The sequence below is a fragment of the Homo sapiens genome, chromosome 5, assembly GCF_000001405.40.
Source record: "Homo sapiens chromosome 5, GRCh38.p14 Primary Assembly".
NCBI classification, from domain to species: domain Eukaryota; kingdom Metazoa; phylum Chordata; class Mammalia; order Primates; family Hominidae; genus Homo; species Homo sapiens.
Genome location: NC_000005.10, coordinates 139,707,213 through 139,728,340, shown reverse-complemented (window position 1 = coordinate 139,728,340; position 21,128 = coordinate 139,707,213). Strand labels below are relative to the sequence as shown.

Sequence of the window (21,128 nt, the reverse complement as noted above, 5' to 3'; positions counted from 1 at the left end):
CTAAAAATACAAAAAATTAGCCGAGCTTGCTTGCAGGCACCTGTAGTCCCAGCTACTTGGGAGGCTGAGGCAGGAGAACGGCGTGAACCCGGAAGTCAGGGATTGCAGTGAGCCCAGATCGCGCCATGCACTCCAACCTGGGCGACAGAGCAAGACTCCATCTCAAAAAAAAAAAAAAAAAATTAGGCCAGGCACAGTGACTCACACCTGTAATCCCAGCACTTTGGGAGGCCGAGGCGGATGGATCACGAGGTCAGGAGTTCAAGAGCATCCTGGCTAACACGGTGAAACCCCGTCTCTACTAAAAATACAAAAAAATTAGCTGGCGTGGTGGCCGGCGCCTGTAGTCCCAGCTACTGGGGAGGCTGAGGCAGGAGAATGGCATGAACCCAGGAGGCAGAGCTTGCAGTGGGCCAAGATTGCGTCACTGCACTCCAGCCTGGGCGACAGAGTGAGACACCGTCTCAAAAAAAAAAAAAAAAATTAGCTGAGCATGGTGGCACGCACCAGTAGTCCCCACTACTCAGAAGGCTGAGGTGGGAGGATCACTTGAGCGTGGGAGATTGAGGTTGCAGTGAGCCAAGATCCTGCCACTGCACTCCACCCTGGCAACAGGGTGAGACCTTGTCTCTTAAAAAAACAAAACAAAAGGGCAGTGGCTCACACTATAATCCCAGCACTTTGGGAGGCCAAGGTGGCTGGATCACCTGAAGTCAGGAGTTCGAGACCAGCCTGGCCAACATGGTGAAACCCTGTCTATACTAAAAATACAAAAAATTAGCTGGGTGTGGTGGCACGCACCTGTAATCCCAGCTACTCAGGAGGCTGAGACAAGAGAATCGCTTGAACCCGGGAGGCAGAGGTTGCAGTGAGCTGAGATCACGCCACTGTGCTCCAGCCTGGGCAACAAGGGCGAAACTCCATCTCCAAAAAAAGGCTAGGCACGGTGGCTCACGCCTTTAATCCCAGCACTTTGGGAGGCCCAGGCAGACGGATCACGAGGTCAGGAGTTTGAGACCAGCCTGACCAACATGATGAAACCCCGTCTCTACTAAAAATACAAAAATTACTCAGGCGTAGTAGTGCGCACCTGTAATCCCAGCTACTCGGGAGGCTGAGGTGGGATAATCGCTTGAACCCGGGAGGCGGAGGTTGCAGGGAGCCGAGATTACCCCACTGCACTCCAGCCTGGGTGACAAGAACAAAACTCTATCTCAAAAAAAAAAAAAACAAAAAAGATTTAGACCTAAATACCAGTCTGTCACACCTCCAATCCCTGGGCACACAAAATGTGTGTGATAAGGGGCCATAGAGCCTCACAAATAGAATTGTGGGGGCATAAGAGATAAAGGGCACCCCCTTGCTTATGTGAAGAGGCGAGGGGACTCTAGGTGGAGGGAACAGCACAGGCAAAGAAAGGTTCTCAGGTGGGAACCTGTGTAGCGTTTAGGGAGATGGAAGTGGCTGTTTGTTCAGTCTGTGGAGCACAGGATGGTGGGAAAGTGGGTCCTGAGCAGATAAGAGCAAGGCTGCGACTCCAGGGAAGGCAGTGGACTTCATTCTATCAGCAGTGGCAACTAATGGCCCAGCGAATCTGAATCCTGGCTTTGTCACCAACCAGCTGAGGTACCTTGGCAAAAATCTCTTCTCTCCAAGCCTCAGTTTCCTCATTTGTAAAATGGAAATAATAATGGTATCTGCCTAGTAGGGTTGTTGTAGGGATTCACAAAAAGGCCCTATGCCCAGACTAAGGTAATCACTCAAGAACTGAGAACTGTTGTTACTGAGCAATGGGGAGCCGCTGAGGGCTCCTGACAGACAGGGACACAAGCAAAGCTGGGCTGGGAAAGCGCTGACCCAGCTGCTCACCTTCACCACAAAGAAGCCTGGGACTCAAGAAGAGTGGAAGGAGATCCTGGATCTGGGCCAGCTGCCTCATTGAAGGTTTCTTTGACATCTCCTGTTTTATCTTTTTTTTTTTTTTTTTGAGACAGCATCTTGCTCTGTCACCCAGGCTTGAGTGCACTGGCACAATCATGGCTCACTGCAGCCTCAACTTCCTGGGCTCAAGCGATCCTCCTACCTCAGCCTCCCGAATAGGTGGGCCTACAGGTGCGTCACCACACCCAGCTAATTTTTGCTTTTATTTTTATTATTTATTTTTTGAGACAGAGTCTCATTCTGTCACCCAGGCTGGAGTGCAATGGTGCGATCTCAGCTCACTGCAACTTCCAGCTCCCAGGTTCAAGTGATTTTCCTGCCTCAGCCTCCTGAGTAGCTGGGACTACAGGCACCCACAACCACGCCCATCTAATTTTTGTATTTTTAGTGGAGACAAGGTTTCACCAGGCTGGTCTCGAACTTCTGACTTCAGGTGATCCACCCGCCTCAGCCTCCCAAAGTGCTGGGATTACAGGTGTGAGCCACTGTGCCTCGCATCACATCACTCTAATTTGATGCTCACCTAGCACTCCTCCCTGTCTGATACTTTCTTATTTAGCTATGACCAGTCTGTCTTACCCAACCAGACTGCATGCTCCATGAGAGGAGGACTTGGTCTGTCTTGTGCATCTCTGTGTCCTTACCACACAGGACAGTGCCTGGCACATAGCAGGTGTTCAGTAAATACTTATGGAGATAGAGAGGGAAAGAAGGAAGAGAAGCAGTGAAGGAGGACAGAAATGAATAAAGACAGATTAATAAAGAACAAAATCTGGGTTCTGGTCCCAAAGACTAGGAGGCTCCTTTGAAACCTCAGTCACCCGCTCTGTAGAATGGGCAGGCCCTCTAGCCCCGAGGCTCTTCGATCAGTGCCATCGTGGGCACACTGTAGTATCCAACCCCTCCCTGCAGTGCTGTTACAGGCCTGCCTCTGGAGCTGACCTCCCTTCCCCACACCCCATCTCAGAGAGGCAAAAATTAATTTCCTTTGGCATAAACTGATTTTGATGAGCCCAGTCCCCGGTGAGGCTTCACAGCAATGCAGGGAACGGCAGGCAGCAGCATGACTTACGGGCCTCAAGGCCCCAGACGCCCAGCTGCTTCTGATGGCTCTGGACATTTCCAGCCCCCTAAATCAGCTGCCACACAGCGACCTGGAGTGCTGCCCAGCCTGTCCTCAGTCTCGGCTGGTGCCCCTGACAGGCGCCTCCCAGGTCAGGGGGCACAGTCTGCATGGAAGTAGGTGACTTCATCCAGGCTGACTCACCCCAGCCGGCCACTGGAGATGGACTGCAGGAGGGAGGAGGACGCAGTCCCCTCCAGCCTGGAGCTTTGGCAGGGATCCTCACCCTCCCTCTGCACCCTTAGGGGTTCCCCAAACCAGACTGTGCCCTACCCTACTCCATACCATCCATCCTTCAGAATCCACACTGATGGTCCTGCGAACGGTCCAGAACTTTGGCTCAGAACCCAGGCCCACTGCCCCTCTTACCAGCCAGGCAAAGCAGACCAGCACTGTAACCTCTGAGACTCAGTTTCTTCATCCGTAAAATGACCACGGTGACCCCTGCTCCACCTACTCCCAAGAAGTATTGGGTGAATCTGGCTGATGTGAGAGGGTCTTAGAGATAGGAAAGTAACATGTGAGATGGGGGATGGGAAGTTATCTCAGTGGACCCCCATGCCACTACGTTGAGCCCAGACCTCTTCTCCTGGTCTGCAGTGCCCTAAATGAATGCCCTCCCCTGCCCTTCTCTCTGCCCCCTTATACTCCACCCCCTGCCTCATTTAGCATCTTCCACAGATAGGCTGGGCTCCTTCCTGCTTCAGGCCTCTGGGGTGCTATTCTCCCAGCCTAGAACTGGGAACTCTTCCTTCCCACCCTATCTTCTTTGCCTGGCTCAATCCTCTTGAACCCCTAACTCTCATCATCTTGGAGGATGGATGGTTTGAGGTAGGATGGGGCATAGTCTGGTTTGGGGAACCCCTAAGAGAAGTTCAGCTGAAATATCACTTCCTCCAAGAAACCTTTCTTGTCAAACCCTTCAGTTTGACATCAGGGGCCCCATGTCTGTGTCCCCACAGTCTAGCTGTTCCCCTACACTATCGCCGTTGTCTCACATCTGCCTCCTAGATGCTGGCCTTGTTCTCCCCAGTGCCTGGCTCATGCCTGGTGCTCACTACCATGGGCTGATCTGAACTTCAGGCCTGTGTCTTTTCCCATTGGCTGACAGTGGCTGTCTGAAGCACTGTGTTGAGGAGGATTCTGAGGTTGCACACACATGCACACAGAAGCACCATGCCCAGCACAAAGTGAGCTGTCAATACACGTCCGCTGTTAAATTAACACTGGTGTTACTATTGGGAGTTGGTTTTTAGGATCTGCATCCTCCCCTAACCTGTCCTTAGTCTCACGTTTGTGGCAACCCAGGGTTGGGGAAGGGAAGCAAAAAGGACTTCTGTTCTCAAATTACCTGAAGACACCTGTCTCTAGCAGAAAGAATATCAACATGGAGTCTGGAGCCCTGAGTTTGAGACTCGCACTGCCCTGCTGACTTGCTTAGGGGACTGACTCCGACTCTGGGTCTCAGTATCTTCATCTATAAAACAGGAATAGTTCTCACCTCACAGGGAGCTGTAAGGACCAACTTCAAAAATCCAGAGGCAGGCTGAGCGCAGTGGCTCACGCCTATAATCCCAGCACTTTGGAAGAAGGTAAATGGATCACCTGAGGCCAGGAGTTCGAGAACAGCATGGCCAACATGGTGAAACCCCATCTCCACTAAAAATACAAAAATTAGCCAGGCGTGGTGGCAGGCGCCTGTAATCTCAGCTACTCAGGAGACTGAGGCAGGAGAATTGCTTGAACCTGGGAGGCAGAGGTTGCAGTGAGCTGAGACCGCACCATTGCACTCCAGCCTGGGTGACAAGAGTGAAACTCTGTCTCAAAAAAAAAAAAAAAATGGCCAGGCGCGGTGGCTCACGCCTGTAATCCCAGCACTTTGGGAGGCTGAGGCAGGTGGATCACGAGGTCAGGCGTTCAAGACCGGCCTGGCCAAGATGGTGAAACCCTGTCTCTACTAAAAATACAAAAAATTAGCCAGGAGTGATGACGGGAGCCTGTAATCCCAGCTACTTGGGAGGCTGAGGCAGAGAATTGCTTGAACCCGGGAGGCAGAGGCTGCAGTGAGCCAAGATCTCACCACTGCACTCCAGCCTGGGCAACAGAACAAGACTCCATCTCAAATAAAATAAAATAAAATAAAAAATACATCCAGAGACAGGGGCCTGGTTCACCTTGACAAAGAACACTCCTCGGCCTACACCTCTAAGGACTGGGTATAGGCTCAAAGGGTGGGGACCCCAGAACTAGGGCCATTACCAGCCATTGTAGTCCTTACTCCTAGGCCCCCACCCTCAGATCCCTGTCTTCACACAACTGCAGGGCCTACTGTGAAACCTTTTTTTTTTCTTTAGAGACAAGGTGTCACTATCACCCTGGCTGGAGGGCAGTGGCACAATCATAGCTCACTGCAGCCTGGACCTCCCAGACTCAAGAGCTCCTCCAGCCTCAGCCTCACAAGTAGCTGGGACTACAGGTGACTGCTACCATGCCCAGCTAATTTTTGTAATTTTTGTAAAGACAGGGTCTCCCAGGCTGGTCTTGAACTCCTAGGCTCAAACTACCCTTCTGCTTTGGCCTCCCAAAGTGCTAAGATTACAGGCGTGAGCCACTGCACCCAGCCAGTGAAATCTTCAGAGCAGGGTCAAACCTCCACTCTCTCACTCTCCAGCTGTGTGACACTGGGCAAGTCCATCTCAGTGGATCTGTTTCTTCATATACTTATTTATTTTTGAGACAGGGCCTCATGTCATCACCCAGCCTGGAGTGGTGGCACACTCACAGCTCACTGAAGCCTTCACCTCCTGAGCTCCAGCGATCCTCTCACCTCAGCCTCCCTAGTAGCTGGGACTACAGGCGTGTACCACCACGCCTGGCTAATTTTGGTATTTTTTGTAGAGACAAGGTTTCCCCATTGTATTAGTCCATTTTCACATGGCTGATAAAGACATACCTGAAACTGCCCGGGCACGGTGACTCACGCCTGTAATCCCAGCACTTTGGGAGGCCGCGGCAGGTGGATCACGAGGTCAGGAGATTGAGACCATCCTGGCTAACATGGTGAAACCCCGTCTCTACTAAAAATACAAAAAATAAGCTGGGCATGGTGGCGGGCACCTGTAGTCCCAGCTACTCGGGAGGCTGAGGCAGGAGAATGGCATGAACCCAGAAAGTGGGGCTTGCAGTGAGCCAAGATTGCACCACTGCATTCCAGCCTGGGTGACAGAGAGAGACTCCGTCTCAAAAAAACAAACAAACAAAAAAGACATACCCAAAACTGGGAACAAAAACAGGTTTAATTGGACTTACAGTTCCACATGGCTGGGGAGACCTCAGAATCATGGCGGGAGGCGAAAAGCACTTCTTACGTGATGCTGGCAAGAGAAAAATGAGGAATAAGCAAAAGTGGAGACCCCTGATAAACCCATCAGATCTTATGAGACTTATTCACTATCACAAGAATAGCACAGAAAGACCGGACCCCATGATTTAATTACCTCCCCCTGGGTCCCTCCCACAACAAGTGGGAATTATGGGAGATACAATTCAAGTTGAGATTTGGGTGGGGACACAGCCAAACCATATGATTCCGACCCTGGCTCCCCCAAATCTCATGTCCTCACATTTCAAAACCAATCATGCCTTCCCAACACTCCCCTAAAGTCTTAACTCATTTCACCATTAACCCAAAAGTCCACAGTCCAAAGTCTTATCTGAGACAAGGCAAGTCCCTTCCACCTATGAGCCTGTAAAATCAAAAACAAGTGGCTGGGTGCAGTGGCTCACACCTGTAATCACAGCACTTTGGGAGGCCGGGGTAGGTGGGTCATTTGAAGTCAGGAATTTGAGACCAGCCTGGCCAACACGGTGAAACCCTGCCTCTACTAAAAATACAAAATTAACTGGGCGTGGTGGCATGCGCCTGTAGTCCCAGCTACTCAGGAGGCTGAGACAGGAGAATCACTTGAACCCGGGAGGTGGAGGCTGCAGTGAGCTGAAATCACACCACTACACTCCAGCCTGAGCGACAGAGTGAGACTCTGTCTTAAAAAAAAAAAAAAAAAAAAAAGCCAGGTGCGGTGGCTCACGCTTGTAATCCCAGCATCTTGGGAGGCCAAGGCGGGTGGATCACCTGAGGTCAGGAGTTCGAGACCAGTCTGGCCAATATGGTGAAATCCCATCTCTACTAAAAATAAAAAATCAGTGGAGTGTGGTGGCACACGCCTGCAGTCCCAGTTACTCAGGAGGCTGAGGCAGGAGAATTGCTTGAACCTGGGAGGCAGACGTTGCAGTGAGCCAAGATCATGCCACTGCACTCCAGTCTGGGCAACAAAGTGAGACTCTGTCTCAAAAAACAAAACAAAACAAAACAAAACAAAAGCAAGGTAGTTACTTCCTAGATACAATGGGGATACAGGTATTGGGTAAATACAGCCATTCTAAATGGGAGAAATTGGCCAAAACAAAGGGGCTACAGGCCCCATGCAAGTTCAAAATCCAGCGGGGCAGTCAAATTTTAAAGCTCCAAAATGATCTCCTTTGACTCCAGGTCTCACATCCAGGTCACGCTGATGCAAGAGGTAGGTTCCCATGGTCTTGGGCAGCTCTACCCCTGTCATTTTGCAGGGTACAGCCTCCCTCCTGGCTGCTTTCACGGGCTGGCGTTGAGTGTCTGCAGCTTTTCCAGGTGCATGGTGCAAGCTGTTGGTGGATCTACCATTCTGGGGTCTGGAGGACAGTGGCCATCTTCTCACAACTCCACTAGGCAGTCCCCCAGCTGTGTGGGGGCTCCAACCCCACATTTCCCTTCCACACTGCCCTAGCAGAGGTCCTCCATGACAGCCCTGCCCCTGCAGCAAACTTTTGCCTGGGCATCCAGGAGTTTCCATACATCTTCTGAAATCTAGGTGGAGGTTCCAAAACCTCAGTTCTTGACTTCTGTGCACCTGCAAGCTCAACATCACATGGAACCTGCCAAGGCTTGGGGCTTCCACCCTCTGAAGCCAAAGTCCATGCTGTATATTGGCCCCTTTCAGCCATGGCTGGAGCAGCTGGAACACAGGGCATCAAATCCCTAGGCTGCACACAGTATGGAGACCCTGCCTCTGGCCCATGAAACCACTTTTTCCTCCTGGGCCTCCAGGCCTGTGATGGGAGAGGCTGCCATGAAGGTCTCTGACATGGCCTGGAGACGTTTTCCCGATGGTCTTGGGGATTAACATTAGGCTCCTTACTACTTATGCAAATTTCTGCAGCCAGCCTGAATTTCTCCCCAGAAAATGGGTTTTTCTTTTCTATCGCATAGTCAGGCTGCAAATTTTCCAAACTTTTATGCTCTGCTTCCCTTATAAAACTGAATGCCTTTAACAGCACCCAAATCACCTCTTGAATGCTTTGCTGCTTAGAAATGTCTTCCACCAAATACCCTAAATCATCTTTCTCAAGTTCAAAGTTCCATAAATCTCTAGGGCAGAGGCAAAATGTCACCAGTCTCTTTGCTAAAACATAACAAGAGGCCAGGTGCAGTGACTCAAGCCTGCAATCCCAGCACTTTGGGAGGCCAAGGCGGGCAGATCACAAGGTGAGGAGATTGAGCCCATCCTGGCCAACATGGTAAAACCCTGTCTCTACTAAAAATACAAAAATTAGCTGGGCGTGATGGCATGTGCCTATAATCCTAGCTACTCGGAAGGCTGAGGCAGGGGAATCGCTTGAACCCAGGAGGCAGAGAGAGGTTGCAGTGAGCCAAGATTGTGCCACTGCACTCTAGCCTGGTGACAGAGCGAGACTCTGTCTCAAAAAAAAAAAAAAAAAAAAAAAAAAAAAAAAAGTCTGTGAGCAGTAGCTCACACCTGTAATCCCAGCACTCTGGGAAGCTGAGGTGGGTGGATCACGAGGTCAGGAGATCAAGACCATCCTGGCTAACACGAAACCCTGTCTCTACTGAAAATACAAAAAATTAGCCGAACGTGGTGGCGGGCGCCTATAGTCCCAGCTACTCGGGAGGCTGACGCAGAATGGCATGAACCCAGGAGGCAGAGCTTGCAGTGAGCCAAGATTGCACCACTGCACTCCAGCCTGGGTGACAGAGCGAGACTCCATCTCAAAAAAAAAAAAAGTCAGGTGTGGTGGCTCACGCCTGTAATCCCAGCACTTTGGGAGGCCAAGGCAGGCAGATCACCTGAGATCAGGAGTTCGAGACCAGCCTGGCCAACAGGGCAAAACTCCATCTCTACTAAAAATACAAAAATTAGCTGGGCATGATGGCAGGCACCTATAATCCCAGCTACTTGGGAGACTGAGGCAGGAGAATCGCTTGAACCTGGAAGGCGGAGGTTGCAGTAAGCCCAGATTGTGCCATTGCACTCTAGCCTGGGTGACAGAGCAAGACTCTGTCTCAAAAAAAAATAAATTAAAAAAATAAATAAATAACAAGAGTCACCTTTACTCCAGTTCCCAACGAGTTCCTCATCTCCATCTGAGACCACCTCAACCTGGACCTTATTGTCCATATCATTATCAGCATTTTGGGCAAAGCCATTTGACAAGTTTCTAGGAAGTTCCAAACATTCCCTCATTTTCCTGTCTTCTTCTGAGCCCTCCAAACTGTTCCAACCTCTGCCTGTTACCCAGTTCCAAAGTTGCTTCCACTTTTTTGGGTATCTTTTCAGCAGCACCCCACTCCTGGTACCAATTTACTGTATCAGTCCGTTTTCATACTGTTGATAAAGACATACCCGAAACTGGGAATAAAAAAAGGTTTCATTGAACTTATAGTTCCACATGGCTGGGGAGGCCTCAGAATCATGGTGAGAGGTGAAAGGCACTTCTTACATGGTAGCAGCAAGAGAAAGATGAGGAAGAAGCAAAAACAGAAACCCCTGATAAATCCATCAGATCTCATGATACTTATTCACTATCACAAAAATAGCACGGGAAAGACCAGCCCCCATGATTCAATTACCTCCCCCTGGATCCCTCCCACAACACATGGGAATTATGGGAGATACAATTCAAGTTGAGATTTGGGTGGGGACACAGCCAAATCATATCAACCATGTTGTTCAGGCTGGTCTTGAACTCCTGAGCTCAAGTTATCCACCCGCCTCAGCCTCCCAAAGTGTTGAGATTACAGGGGTGAGCCACCATGCCTGGCTGTTTCTTCATTTATAAAATGACAATGATAATGCTTGCTTCAATAGCACATACACTAAAATTGGAATGACATAGAGAATATTAGCATGACCCTGTGCAAGGATGACATGCAAATTCATAAAGCATTCCATATTTTTTTTAAATGGCAATGATAATGAAAGTTGCCTCCCAGAATTCTTAGAACAATTAAGGCCAGGCACAGTGCCTCATGCCTGTAATCCCAGCACTTTGGGAGGCCAAGGAGAACAGATCACCTGCGCTCAGGAGTTTGAGACCAGCCTGACCAACATGGTGAAACCCCATCTCTACTAAAAATACAAAACTTACGCCAGGCGCGGTGGCTCACACCTGTAATCCCAGCACTTTGGGAGGCCAAGGTGGGAGGATCACTTGAGGTCAGGAGTTAGAGACCAGCCTGGCCAACATGGCGAAACCCCATCTCTACTAAAAGTACAAAAATTAACCAGGCATGGTGGCACGTGCCTGCAGTCCCAGCTACTTGGGAGGCTGAGGCAGGAGAATCGTTTGAACCCGGGAGGTGGGTTTGCAGTGAGCCAAGATTGCACCACTGCACTCCAGTCTGGGCAACAAACCGAGACTTTGTCTAAAAAAAAAAAAAAAAAAAAAAAATTAGCCAGGTGTGGTGGCGCATGTCTGTAGTCCCAGCTACTCTGGAGGTTGAGCGGGGAGAATCACTTGAACCACTTGAGAATCACTTGATGGGGGAGGTCACCGTGAGTCGAGCTCACACCACTGCACGCCAGCCTGGGCAACAGAGTTAGACTCCATCTCAGGAAAAGAAAAAAAAAGGATTAACTGAGTTAATTGGGTAAAGCATGCACTTAGCATTTGACTTGAGGTCTAGTAAGTGCCCAGTAAATATTACCCATAATAATAATAATAATAATAATAATAATCATCATCATCATCATCATCATCATCACCATCCCCCTGAATGCTGTGGCTATGCATGGTTTAAGATATCCATGTTGATCCTGGTCCCTGGTCCTTCCACAACATAACTTCTGGAACCCTCACAGCTGACTACACTGTCATCCCCACTTCCTGGATGAGCAAAGTGAGGCTTAGAGAGCCTGGGACTTTTCAGACTGAAAACTTCCTGAAGGCAGAGGCCTTCCCTCCCAAGCCTGTGCTCCTCTTAGAACTGAGGCTGTGTCTCCCCATCAAACTAGGTGTTTTGTCTCCCTCCTTAGCCAGGGCTCTTTTATAGGCCTCCAGCTAAGCTCAGAGGAGCAAGAAGGGTGAGGTCCAGCCCCCCTGCCTCCCGTGTGGCACAAGGAGAGGTTCAGGCTATGGACAAAGGTCAGCACAGGCCCGCCTGGTCTTAGCTGCTCCAGTTGATTGATGCAGGAAGGCCTCGTGACTGCCCCTACCCACCTCCAAAATGGCTCCAGCTTCCCACCTGAATAGGCTAAGCCTTTGAAATGAGGCTGCAGCATTGGAGAAGATGGGGGCTAGTGGTGGGGGGAGGTGGGAGTCAGCAGCTCCCTGGCCCCCCATTTCCCCCTCTAGGCACTCCTATCAGTGTTGGCTGGGCAGCATTGACCACCACAGCCCTGGGAGATGGTTCTGGGTGCCCATGCCATGACAGAAGAAGCATGAAAGCTTCCAGCGCACCAGCAAGCCAGGGTGAATAGGGGCCAACTCCTTCATGCAAGCAGGCTCTAGATGCCCACCTGCTAGCGGGAAATAATAGCATCAGATAGCAACCACCAGGACACACACACACACACACACACACACCAAACTCTGCACCACTTAGTAGAGTGATACCATGGACACTGGCATTCCAGACTCGGGATCAAATCCCGGTTACACTACTTCCTAGCTGTGCAAACTTAGGTAGTGTTATGGGCTGAATTGGGTACCTCCAAAAATTCATAAGTTAAAGTCCTTAATAAGCCTTCAGTATCTCAGAATGTGACCTTACTTGGGAATAGAGTCTCTACGGAGAAATTCAAGTTAAAATGAGGTCTTTGGCCAGGCACAGTGGCTCACACCTGTAATCCCAGCACTTTGGGAGGCTGAGACGGGTGTATCACCTGAGGTCAGGAGTTTGAGACCAGCCTGACCAACATGGTGAAACCCCATCTCTACTAAAAATACAAAATTACCCAGGCATGGTGGCACATGCCTGTAATCCCAGCTACTCAAGAGGCTGAGGCAGGAGAATCGCTTGAACCCAGGAGGTGGAGGTTGTAGTGAGTCAATATTGCACTACTGCACTCCAGCCTGGGCAATAACAGTGAAACTCCGTTTCAAAAAAAGAAAAAAAGAAGGCTGGGCCCAGTGGCTCATGCCTGTAATCCCAGCACTTTGGGAGGCCAAGGCGGGTGGATCACCTGAGATCAGGAGTTCGAGACCAGCCTGGCCAACATGGTGAAAGCCTGTCTCTACTAAAAATACAAAAATTATCCTGGCATGGTGGTAGGAGCGTGTAATCCCAGCTACTCAGGAGGCTGAGGCAGGAGAATTGCTTGAACCCAGGAGATGGAGGTTGCAGTGTGCCGAGATCGCACCATTGCACTCCAGCCTCAGCAACATAGCGAGACCCCATCTCAAAAAAAAAAAAAAAAAAAGGTCTTTGGGGTGGGCCCTAATCAATATGACTGGTGTCCTTATAAGCAGGGGTAGTTTGGACAGATACACACAGAGGTTAGACAAGGTGAAGAGACGCAGGGAGAAGGTGGCCATCTACAAGCCAAGGAAAGAGGCCTGAACAGATCCTTCCTTCACAGCCCTCAGAAGGGTGCTCCCAAGACCCTGATTTTGGACATCTGCTTTCCAGAACTGTAAGCCACCCAGTCTGTGGTATTTTGTTACGGGAGCCCTAGCAAGCCAATACAGGTAATGACTGTTTCTTGTAGCCTCAGTTCCCAAACGCCTAAGCAGAAATTATAAGAGTACTTGCCTCAGCTGGGCACGGTGGCTCATGCCTGTAATCCCAGCACTTTGGGAGGCAGAGGCGGGTGGATCACGAGGTCAGGAGATTGAGACCGTCTTGGCCAACATGGTGAAACCCCATCTCTACTAAAATACAAATTAGCTGGGCATGGTGATGCGTGCCTGTAATCCCAGCTACTTGGGAGGCTGAGGCAGGAGAATCTCTTGAACCTGGGAGGTGGAGGTTGCAGCGAGCTGAGATCGCGCCACTGCACTCCAGCCTGGCGACAGAGTAAGACTTCATCTCAAAAAATAAAAAAAAAAAAAACAAAGTACTTGCCTCATAGGTTGATATGGGGCTGAGATGAGATGGTACTGGTAGCACATAGTACCTACTCAATAAATGGGGGTGGCATTTACTATTATGGTTATTATTCACCATAGGTTACTCACTTCCATATACACTTATACAATTACTCACATATTCCAGACAATACTGTATTGTATACCTCCCAAGTACCAAGCATGTGAGCCTTGAGATTAAACAGACTTCTCTTATCTTGGGGGACTTGACAATAAACAAAGATAGCCCTATTCTCACGGGAGATACAGTTTACATACACACGAATTCGCTGATGGAAGAGCAAATGGCTGTGGGTTTGCCCATGTGTGTGCATTTGTTACTGTGTGTGTGTACATGGTGTTAATGTATGCATGGGTGCATCAGGGTATCCATGTGCAAGTTAGTATGTGTGCATCTGGATATCCAAGTGTGTACCTGTGTGTACCTGTGCATGCATAAGCATACACGTGTGTTGTACATGTGGTGGTATAGCATATGTGCACATGTACGTTAGCATGTACATGAATATGCATGTGGGGGCATGAGAACATATGGGCCAGTATGAATCTGGGTCAGTGTGACTGAGCATGGGCAGATGTGCAAGCACGCGTGAGAAGAGTAGGGTCCAAAGCTGGTGCCCTCTGCTGCCTACAGTCCAAGAAGGAGCTCTATGAGGTCATCTTAGCCTCAGCCACCTGGCAGCCTCAAGTGGACAGACACCCCTTCCCCAAGTCAAGTTAGAATGCTCCCATGCCAGGCCGGGCGCGGTGGCTCACGCCTGTAATCCTAGTACTTTGGGAGGCCGAGGTGGGTGGACTGCCCCAGCTCAGGAGTTCAAGACCAGCCTGGACAACACGGTGAAACCCCGTCTCTACTAAAATACAAAATATTAGCCAGGCATGGTGGCGTGCGCCTGTAATCCCAGCTACTCGGGAGGCTGAGACAGGAGAATCTCTTGAACCCAGGAAGTGGAAGTTTCAGTGAGCCGAGATCACACCATTGCACTCCAGCCTGGGTGACAGAGTGAGACTCTGTCTCAAAAAAAAAAAAAAAAGAAAAAGAAAAAGAAAAAGAAAAAAGAATGCTCCCATGCCAAGGCATCTGCCCCAGGATCCTCCCCAGTGCATAGTCTTGGTTTTCAGTTAGTCCTTCCTGTATTCTGAAACCAGCAGTCCCAAATATCCTGAATGAAACAGACATCAGCCCTAGATTCCAGGCACACATTAGTACTATGTCCTCACTCAGCTCCCCTCAACCTATCTTTCCAAAGAGGGAAGTGGGATTCCACATTCCAAAGGCTGCTCCAATTTGGGTGTCCTATTCCTGCACCCCACATGCTCAACATCACACTCCCTGTCCCCCACCACCCAGGGTTCAGGGGCCTAATTTACCCGGGCACTTGTACCACCATCACAGAACCTGATGCTTCATAGAGAAGTAAGGCTGGATATGGGTCTAGGAGAGGCAAGCCCTCAAGTACTAGCCAGGCCAGTGCCCAGTGGGCATCTGTAGCTCCAAGTGGCAGCTGTGAGGGGACACCCAAGGGTGAAAGAGACCTAAGGCACTGGGGCTTGGGGTAGGGAGTGGAGTCCCACAGATGAGACCACACCCAGGGGACTGACCCCTACCCCACTCTCACTCTTCCCTGCCCAGGACCTGGTAGACCCCTAAAGGACAAGACTTGGAGAACCAGAGACATCTGGGCCAGACTCTCCTCTACCCCAAAACTAAAGTCTGAACTACAAATCTGAGTTCCAATAGTTTTAATAGTGATGACAATGACGACAGAGGCTCACATATATCATGCAGTTACTAAGTACCTGGACCTACACTCAGCACTTTCCATGCACTGTCCCATAGAAGCCACACATTGTTTTGGTGGGGTTAGGGACCATCAGTGTTACCCCCATTTTACAATTGAGGAAACCAAGGCTCAGTTTGGGTCATCTGCCCTCCAGCATGCAGTCAATTAGTGGCAGAGCCAGGATTTAAGCTTGGTCCTCCTGAGTCCAGAACCCACACTCTCAACCACCAAGTTCCTACCTTACTGAGTGATCCCTCTCTCAATCTCCCATTGTTCAGTGACTTGCTAGACTCCATCACCTCCGATTTCTGTGGGACTCCCAATATGCCTCTCAGTGAGGGTGGCAGCCTTCCCTCGGGTCTCGTGAGGTGTGCAGATGACAGGACCACTCCAGACCCACTAAATCAGACTCTCCACACTGGCCTGCCCCCTCCTCCTCACATCTGCGTGCTCACAAGGGCAAGTGGTCTGCTGTGCACCAGGATTTGAGAATTCCTGGGGTGGTGGGATCCCTTGGCCAGAAAGAAGCTAGGAAAAGGTGAAATGCACACTCTCCCCCAAGCCCTTCTGGGGAAACTTCAGGTCAGAAGACTGAGGATGCCCTGAGGCCTGGCTACCATTCCTTCCTCATCAAATGGGCAACATTAATGGGGAGACGATCCATGAATTCCAGAGGTGTTGCCAATTATGGGGGTGGGGAAAACGAAATGAGTTCTGCCCAATCACCTCCCTGCTATCCCTGAGCCAGAGGGGCACAGATCCTCCCCTTTAATCCCTCCCCCGCCTCCCCCGACCCCCGCCAAACTTGAGTGGGGTGGGAGCAACCAGCACGGTTTAGGGGAGTGGGCCATGTCGGGCTAGAGCGACAGGAAGGTGGGAGCCCCTCGTAGACAAAGACTGACCCCAGCCAGGCCGGCTGGCCAGCCAGCCCATCCCCACCCCCCTGCGGCAGGCAGCTTGGCAGGGCTGAGCGCCAGCTCCTCGCTCCAAACCGAGTTCCCGCCGAGCGTGCTTAATGCAGCGGCAGTGACATTTCTGCCTTCAGAGGCAAAAACAGGAACCCGGCCATTTTGATGAACGGCGCCCAGAGCGCTGGCGGGAGACAAGGAGGGTCAGGTTCTGACTCCTGCACCCCCGGCTGCCCTAACCGGCTCACCCCTGCCAGGCCCAGGGATCAAGCCAGAGAGAGCGACACGAAACCAGGGTCACCAGACCGACAGGGAAGCTGCTATAGAACCCCCACCCTCTTGTATAGGTGAGGAAACTGAGGCCATAGCGCTGACACTAGCCAGATGCAGGGAAGGCAAACGGAAGGATTAAGAAAGCCCCAGAAGGATGCCTTGAGGAATGTCGGGTAGGAGCGCTCGTCTGAGGAGCTAGAAGGCTAACTCCAGCCCGCTACAATAGCCCACCCCAAAGGAGTCTGCACACCTGGAACCCACCCCTACGGCGCGCCCTCATGAGGGCGCTCCCAGCGCCTCTAACCCTCCAAGTAGCGAGAGGGTTAAGCTTCCTCGCAGTACTTGCCGCAGTAAGTGGAAAGGAAAGAAGTGTCAACTCTGTTCTCACCACAGCGGGGCTGTCGGATGGCACCTCCCCCCGCCCCGCGCACCCCGCCCGGCCTGCTCCCCCGCCCTCCCCTCGGAGCGCGCGCGCACACACCTCCCACCGCTTTGCCCAAATTATTTTCGATCCCGGGAGACTCCGGATGCCAGACGCGCTCGGCGGCGGCGGCGGCGGCGGCGGCCGCGCCTGATTCATTGCGCCAAAGCTGCAGATGCGACCTCCCGCCTGCGCCCGGTGCCCCGGCCCGCGCTGGGCTGCGCGCGCCTGGAGAGATGGGGGGCAATTTGTAGGCGCTTCCCCCCCACACAAAAGAGGCGGGTCCTGGCCCCCCGGGGCTCTGTCCCCCTGTCTCCAGCTCCCTGGGCTGCGCTAATTAGCTTCCTCAGGGGGCGCCACGCGGCGTGAGGGGCGGCAATTTCCCGGCTGGGCTGCGGGGGAAGCGCTCCCGCCGCCTGGGAAGGTGAAATGGGAAACTCGATTCAAAGAGAGCTTTCCTCCCCCCTCCCGCCAAGCGCCGTAGAAAACGGGTTTGAAATTCCTCCTCCTTTTTTTTTTTTTTTTTTATTTATAGTGCACGGTCTCCATGGCAACCGCGGAGGAGGTCACGGTAGCTGGGCCCCCGCGCGTCACCCCGCGCCTCGCCGGCTGCAGGCGCCGGGATTGCGGCCTCCCAGGCGCCGCGGCCCGCGTGGACTCAGCTCCGAGTTCTCCGCCCCCGCTCCGCCCTGCTCGCGGCTCAGGCCCCAGCCATATGACTCTGCCAGGTCCCAACCGCGAATGGCGCACCTGGGCACCAGTGCGCTAGGCTATACCTCTGTCCCCGGGCTCTAACACGCGGGACTGCACCACGAAACACGTGCCCAACCCCAAGACAAGAACACGTGCGGCAAGACGCCGCCAAGGGGCTCTCTGCATTCGTGGATGCCCTGGGTAATCGACCTATATTGGCGCACAACTGCAGAGCTCTTGCTAAGACGCGACCACCCGAGGCTAACAACGCTGGCTTTGGAGTCAGAGCCCAGCCCCGCCTCGATAACTTACTAGCTGTGTGACTTCGGCCAAGTCACCACCTCTCTGCGCCTCAGCTTCCTCATCAGCAAAATGGAATTGTTGTGAGGCCTAATTGATACAAAATACGTTCAACGCCTATCATGGTGTTTGGCACGTGGTTCTGAAAATCTGTGGTTGGAGTTATTTCTTCTTGGCTGTGAAAGCCAAGGCCCTAAAGACTTTGAATAGGGGCGCGCGCTTAGCCCGGAGGCTAGGAGTTCCGCCTCGGGAGCTCCCCAGCACCTCAGCCTAGGCGCACAGGCGGCTAGTGGGAGGCGCGTGCGGGCTGCTTAGGGACTGGGCCAGCCTGGGGCGCGGCGGGCGGGGTTGCAGTCTCCAGAGCTCGCCACGTCCGCACCCGGAACCCTGGAAACGGGGCTCCCAGAGGCTCCCCCGCTACCATCCCCCCGCCCCCCCACGCCCGTCCCAGCACCATTAGCAACAGGCCTGCCCGCCCGCCCTCCTAGGCTGAGGCCGCACCTGACCCACCGGATGGCGGCTTCTGGGCTGAGCCGTGCCCCCCAGCGTGCACACTTCCTCCCGGACCCCCAGCGCCCCGTCGAGTGCACAGAGGGAGGGGATCGGGCCGCCCCCGCCCCGCCAGCTTCCCACAGCCAGAGCTGCCCGGAGCCGGGGAGGCAGGAAGTCTCAGAGCCGGGGCGTGGAGGCGGGGTGGGGGCAGGAAGTTGGGGGTGACTCTCCCAGAGACCCCAGACAGGGCCCCGGCGTGGGAGCGGGGTGGGCGGGCACGTAGGGATTAAGGGCGCCCCCCTCCTCTGTAGCCTTAGGCCATGTGACCCCGGCTGGAACACCCTGCAGGGTGAGGGCGAAGGCCGCTACCTCTGGCGACCCCCAGCAGCGCGCACAGGGAGGGAGGGGCCGCCTTTGTCTACTTTGCCGCAGAGGCAGCCCCCCACAACCCCTCCCCTCAGCGCCCCGCCGGGCCCTGCACAGCCCGGGTTTTCCATCCGGCCCGGCTCGGCTCGGCAGCTGTCAGGGGACCGAGCTGACCTTCGCGAGCAGGGAGTTTCAATTAGCCGCAGATCAGATAAGCGGGCGGGCCAGTCTCTCCGGGCACCGCGGGGGCGCAGCCCCGCCCCCGCCACGCCGCGCCAAACGCGCTCCAGATGGGAACAAAGATGAGGACGCAGCTCCACCTGCCTCCCCGGGGAGGGGAAGAGGAGGCCCCGCCGGGAGGACCTTCCCACCAGGGGAAGAGGTCGCGCGCCCTACCCTGCCCTGCCCGTCTGGGATTCCAGGGTCATGGGTCTGGCCAAGATGATCTTTGCGGTTCTGCTTGCCTCCTGCACTGAGGAGAGGTGCCTGCTGCACTGACCTCATCCCCGGGCGGGCGCCGTGCCCTCCCTCTCCCGGAGGGAGCGTTTTGCCATCTCTGATCTCATCCAGAGCCTCCCTGGGAGGCTGAGAGAAGGCAGAGCCCAACAGAAAAAGGAAGCTGAGGCTGGGACTTCTTGATCCAGGTCACACCAACTACATATTGTTCAGATGTTTACTGAGTGCCTACTACGTGCTAGGCACTATTTAGACCATGGGAACACGAGAGCACAGTCTTGTCCCCAGCCTCCCAGAACTTGCGTTCTAGTCACGTTCAAGTAAACAAATAGTTGACCATGATCACTTCAGAGAGCATGAGGAGCCATGAGGACATTAAAGTAGGTCATGTGAGACTGACTTCAGGGAGGGGTCCATATGAGCTATTGTCGTCAGGGGAGGCCTCTGAGGAGAAGACATCTGAGCTGGAGCCTGAAAGACCAGGAAAAGCCAGCCAAGCAAAGGAGAGGGGGCAGAGCATGCCAGGCAGAGGGCACAGCAGGCACAGAGGCTCCAAGGCTGCAAAGGCTCCAAGGCTGCAAAGAACGTGCCTCTTGAAGGTGAGGGGAAGGCCTTTGTAAGCCCAAAGGGTATGCCTATAGGGCTGGGCTTTGCAGGCCCCCTGAGGGGCCAGGGTTTATGCAAAGTGCCATGGCAGCCTTCAGTGGGTTTTAAGCTGGGAGATCTGACTTAAACTTTTTAAAGATCCCCCTGGCCACCCTGTAGACCAGTGGAAAGGATCAAGCAGGGAGACCTGGGAGGAGGGGCTGGGGGTTGGGATAGCGAGGGAAAGATGGTGGTGGAGAGGTTGCTGGCTTAGAGATATTTTGGCAGATGAATTGGATGTGTGGGTGAGGTAGAGTGATAGAAGTTTGCTGAAACAGGCCGGATTTGAACCTAGGTCGGTCTTTGGGAGCATGGAGGCCCAGCTTAAGAGGTTAAGGATAAAGCTATGGAGCAAGAAGCCAGGGTTGAAATGCCAGTAGTGATATTTACTAGCTGAGTGACCTTGGGTAAACATTTAGATCAATTTCCTCAAGCATTTGAAAAGAAAAGGATGGGATCATAATCCAGATTGTCATTGTGAGGTTTGAGTATGATGTAAGGTGGAAGTGTTTAGCATTGAGCCTGGGAGGAGTAGGTGCTCTATAGATGTTGGCTGTTATTGTGGGGGTTGTTGCTACTCCACCCACCCCCACACACCTGCCTCTTAGTACCAGAACAGTCCTCAACACACAGCCTGGCCTTTCCACCCGACCTCTGGCTTTGTTTTCATTTGCTAAGGGTAGAAGCTCCTCCTCCCATCAACCACTGCTCCCCTCACACACCTTTGTTTGGAAGGCTGTTTGAGGGGGTGGAGGTCACTGGGAAGAGACCGACCCAGTCCTTGTTCACTAAACCGTCTGCTGGGATCCTCCTCATCTCAGGACCCTAACTCTCCATCCTCTGGTTACAGTAAGAGTTGCTCAAAGGTCTCAAGGTGAGCCCTCCCCCACTGCCTGCCTGAAGAGTTGAGACCATTCAGTTATCACGCATTCAATCAGTTGAGTGACCCTCCAGGGCCCAGGGTAGTGGTGGGGACAGACAAAAGCAAATGCAGGCCCTGCCCTCGGGCAGAGGCCTAGACTCTTTCCTGAATTGCAGTTAGTTATGGCATTTTAGGCTCTAGGAGCTGAAGGAGCTGAGCAGGGCAGGTAGAGGGGTCGGGGTGGAGGCCTAAATTACAACTCCCATTTATGGAAACTTTACCCAGGGCCAGGCACTTTGCTCTGGTCCGTGAATGTCACACATACATGTCATCGAGTCCTTACAACCACCCCATCCACCCCATGAGATTGGTACAATTTTTTGTTTTTGTTTTTCCGAAAGAGTCTCGCGCTGTCACCCAGGCTGCAGTGCAGTGGCGTGAT

General features: G+C 52.7%; 1 long non-coding RNA gene and 1 pseudogene across 1 annotated transcript, besides 6 other annotated features; one reads left to right on the top strand and one right to left on the bottom strand.

Annotated features, from left to right (window-relative positions):
* Positions 3,076 to 3,576: an enhancer, noted in NCBI's record as "H3K4me1 hESC enhancer chr5:139104350-139104850 (GRCh37/hg19 assembly coordinates)". NCBI's record gives its function as "activates a minimal SCP1, AML or CMV promoter by ChIP-STARR-seq in primed H9 embryonic stem cells {active_cell/tissue: H9 hESC(primed)}" and the evidence as "EXISTENCE:reporter gene assay evidence [ECO:0000049][PMID:30033119]".
* LOC124901085 (uncharacterized) lies at positions 6,343 to 18,439 on the bottom strand. Its single transcript, XR_007058963.1, has 2 exons — positions 18,367 to 18,439; positions 6,343 to 6,438 (listed from the first exon to the last, which is right to left on the bottom strand). It is a non-coding gene; the product is annotated as an uncharacterized LOC124901085 (long non-coding RNA).
* On the top strand, positions 10,251 to 10,356 carry RNU6-236P (RNA, U6 small nuclear 236, pseudogene; annotated as a pseudogene).
* Positions 16,867 to 16,946: a silencer, noted in NCBI's record as "silent region_16428". NCBI's record gives its function as "represses an Ori minimal core promoter by ATAC-STARR-seq in GM12878 lymphoblastoid cells {active_cell/tissue: GM12878}" and the evidence as "EXISTENCE:reporter gene assay evidence [ECO:0000049][PMID:35858748]".
* Positions 17,437 to 17,536: a silencer, noted in NCBI's record as "silent region_16427". NCBI's record gives its function as "represses an Ori minimal core promoter by ATAC-STARR-seq in GM12878 lymphoblastoid cells {active_cell/tissue: GM12878}" and the evidence as "EXISTENCE:reporter gene assay evidence [ECO:0000049][PMID:35858748]".
* Positions 17,817 to 17,866: an enhancer, noted in NCBI's record as "active region_23252". NCBI's record gives its function as "activates an Ori minimal core promoter by ATAC-STARR-seq in GM12878 lymphoblastoid cells {active_cell/tissue: GM12878}" and the evidence as "EXISTENCE:reporter gene assay evidence [ECO:0000049][PMID:35858748]".
* Positions 18,111 to 19,101: an enhancer, noted in NCBI's record as "H3K4me1 hESC enhancer chr5:139088825-139089815 (GRCh37/hg19 assembly coordinates)". NCBI's record gives its function as "activates a minimal SCP1, AML or CMV promoter by ChIP-STARR-seq in primed H9 embryonic stem cells {active_cell/tissue: H9 hESC(primed)}" and the evidence as "EXISTENCE:reporter gene assay evidence [ECO:0000049][PMID:30033119]".
* Positions 18,257 to 18,626: a silencer, noted in NCBI's record as "silent region_16426". NCBI's record gives its function as "represses an Ori minimal core promoter by ATAC-STARR-seq in GM12878 lymphoblastoid cells {active_cell/tissue: GM12878}" and the evidence as "EXISTENCE:reporter gene assay evidence [ECO:0000049][PMID:35858748]".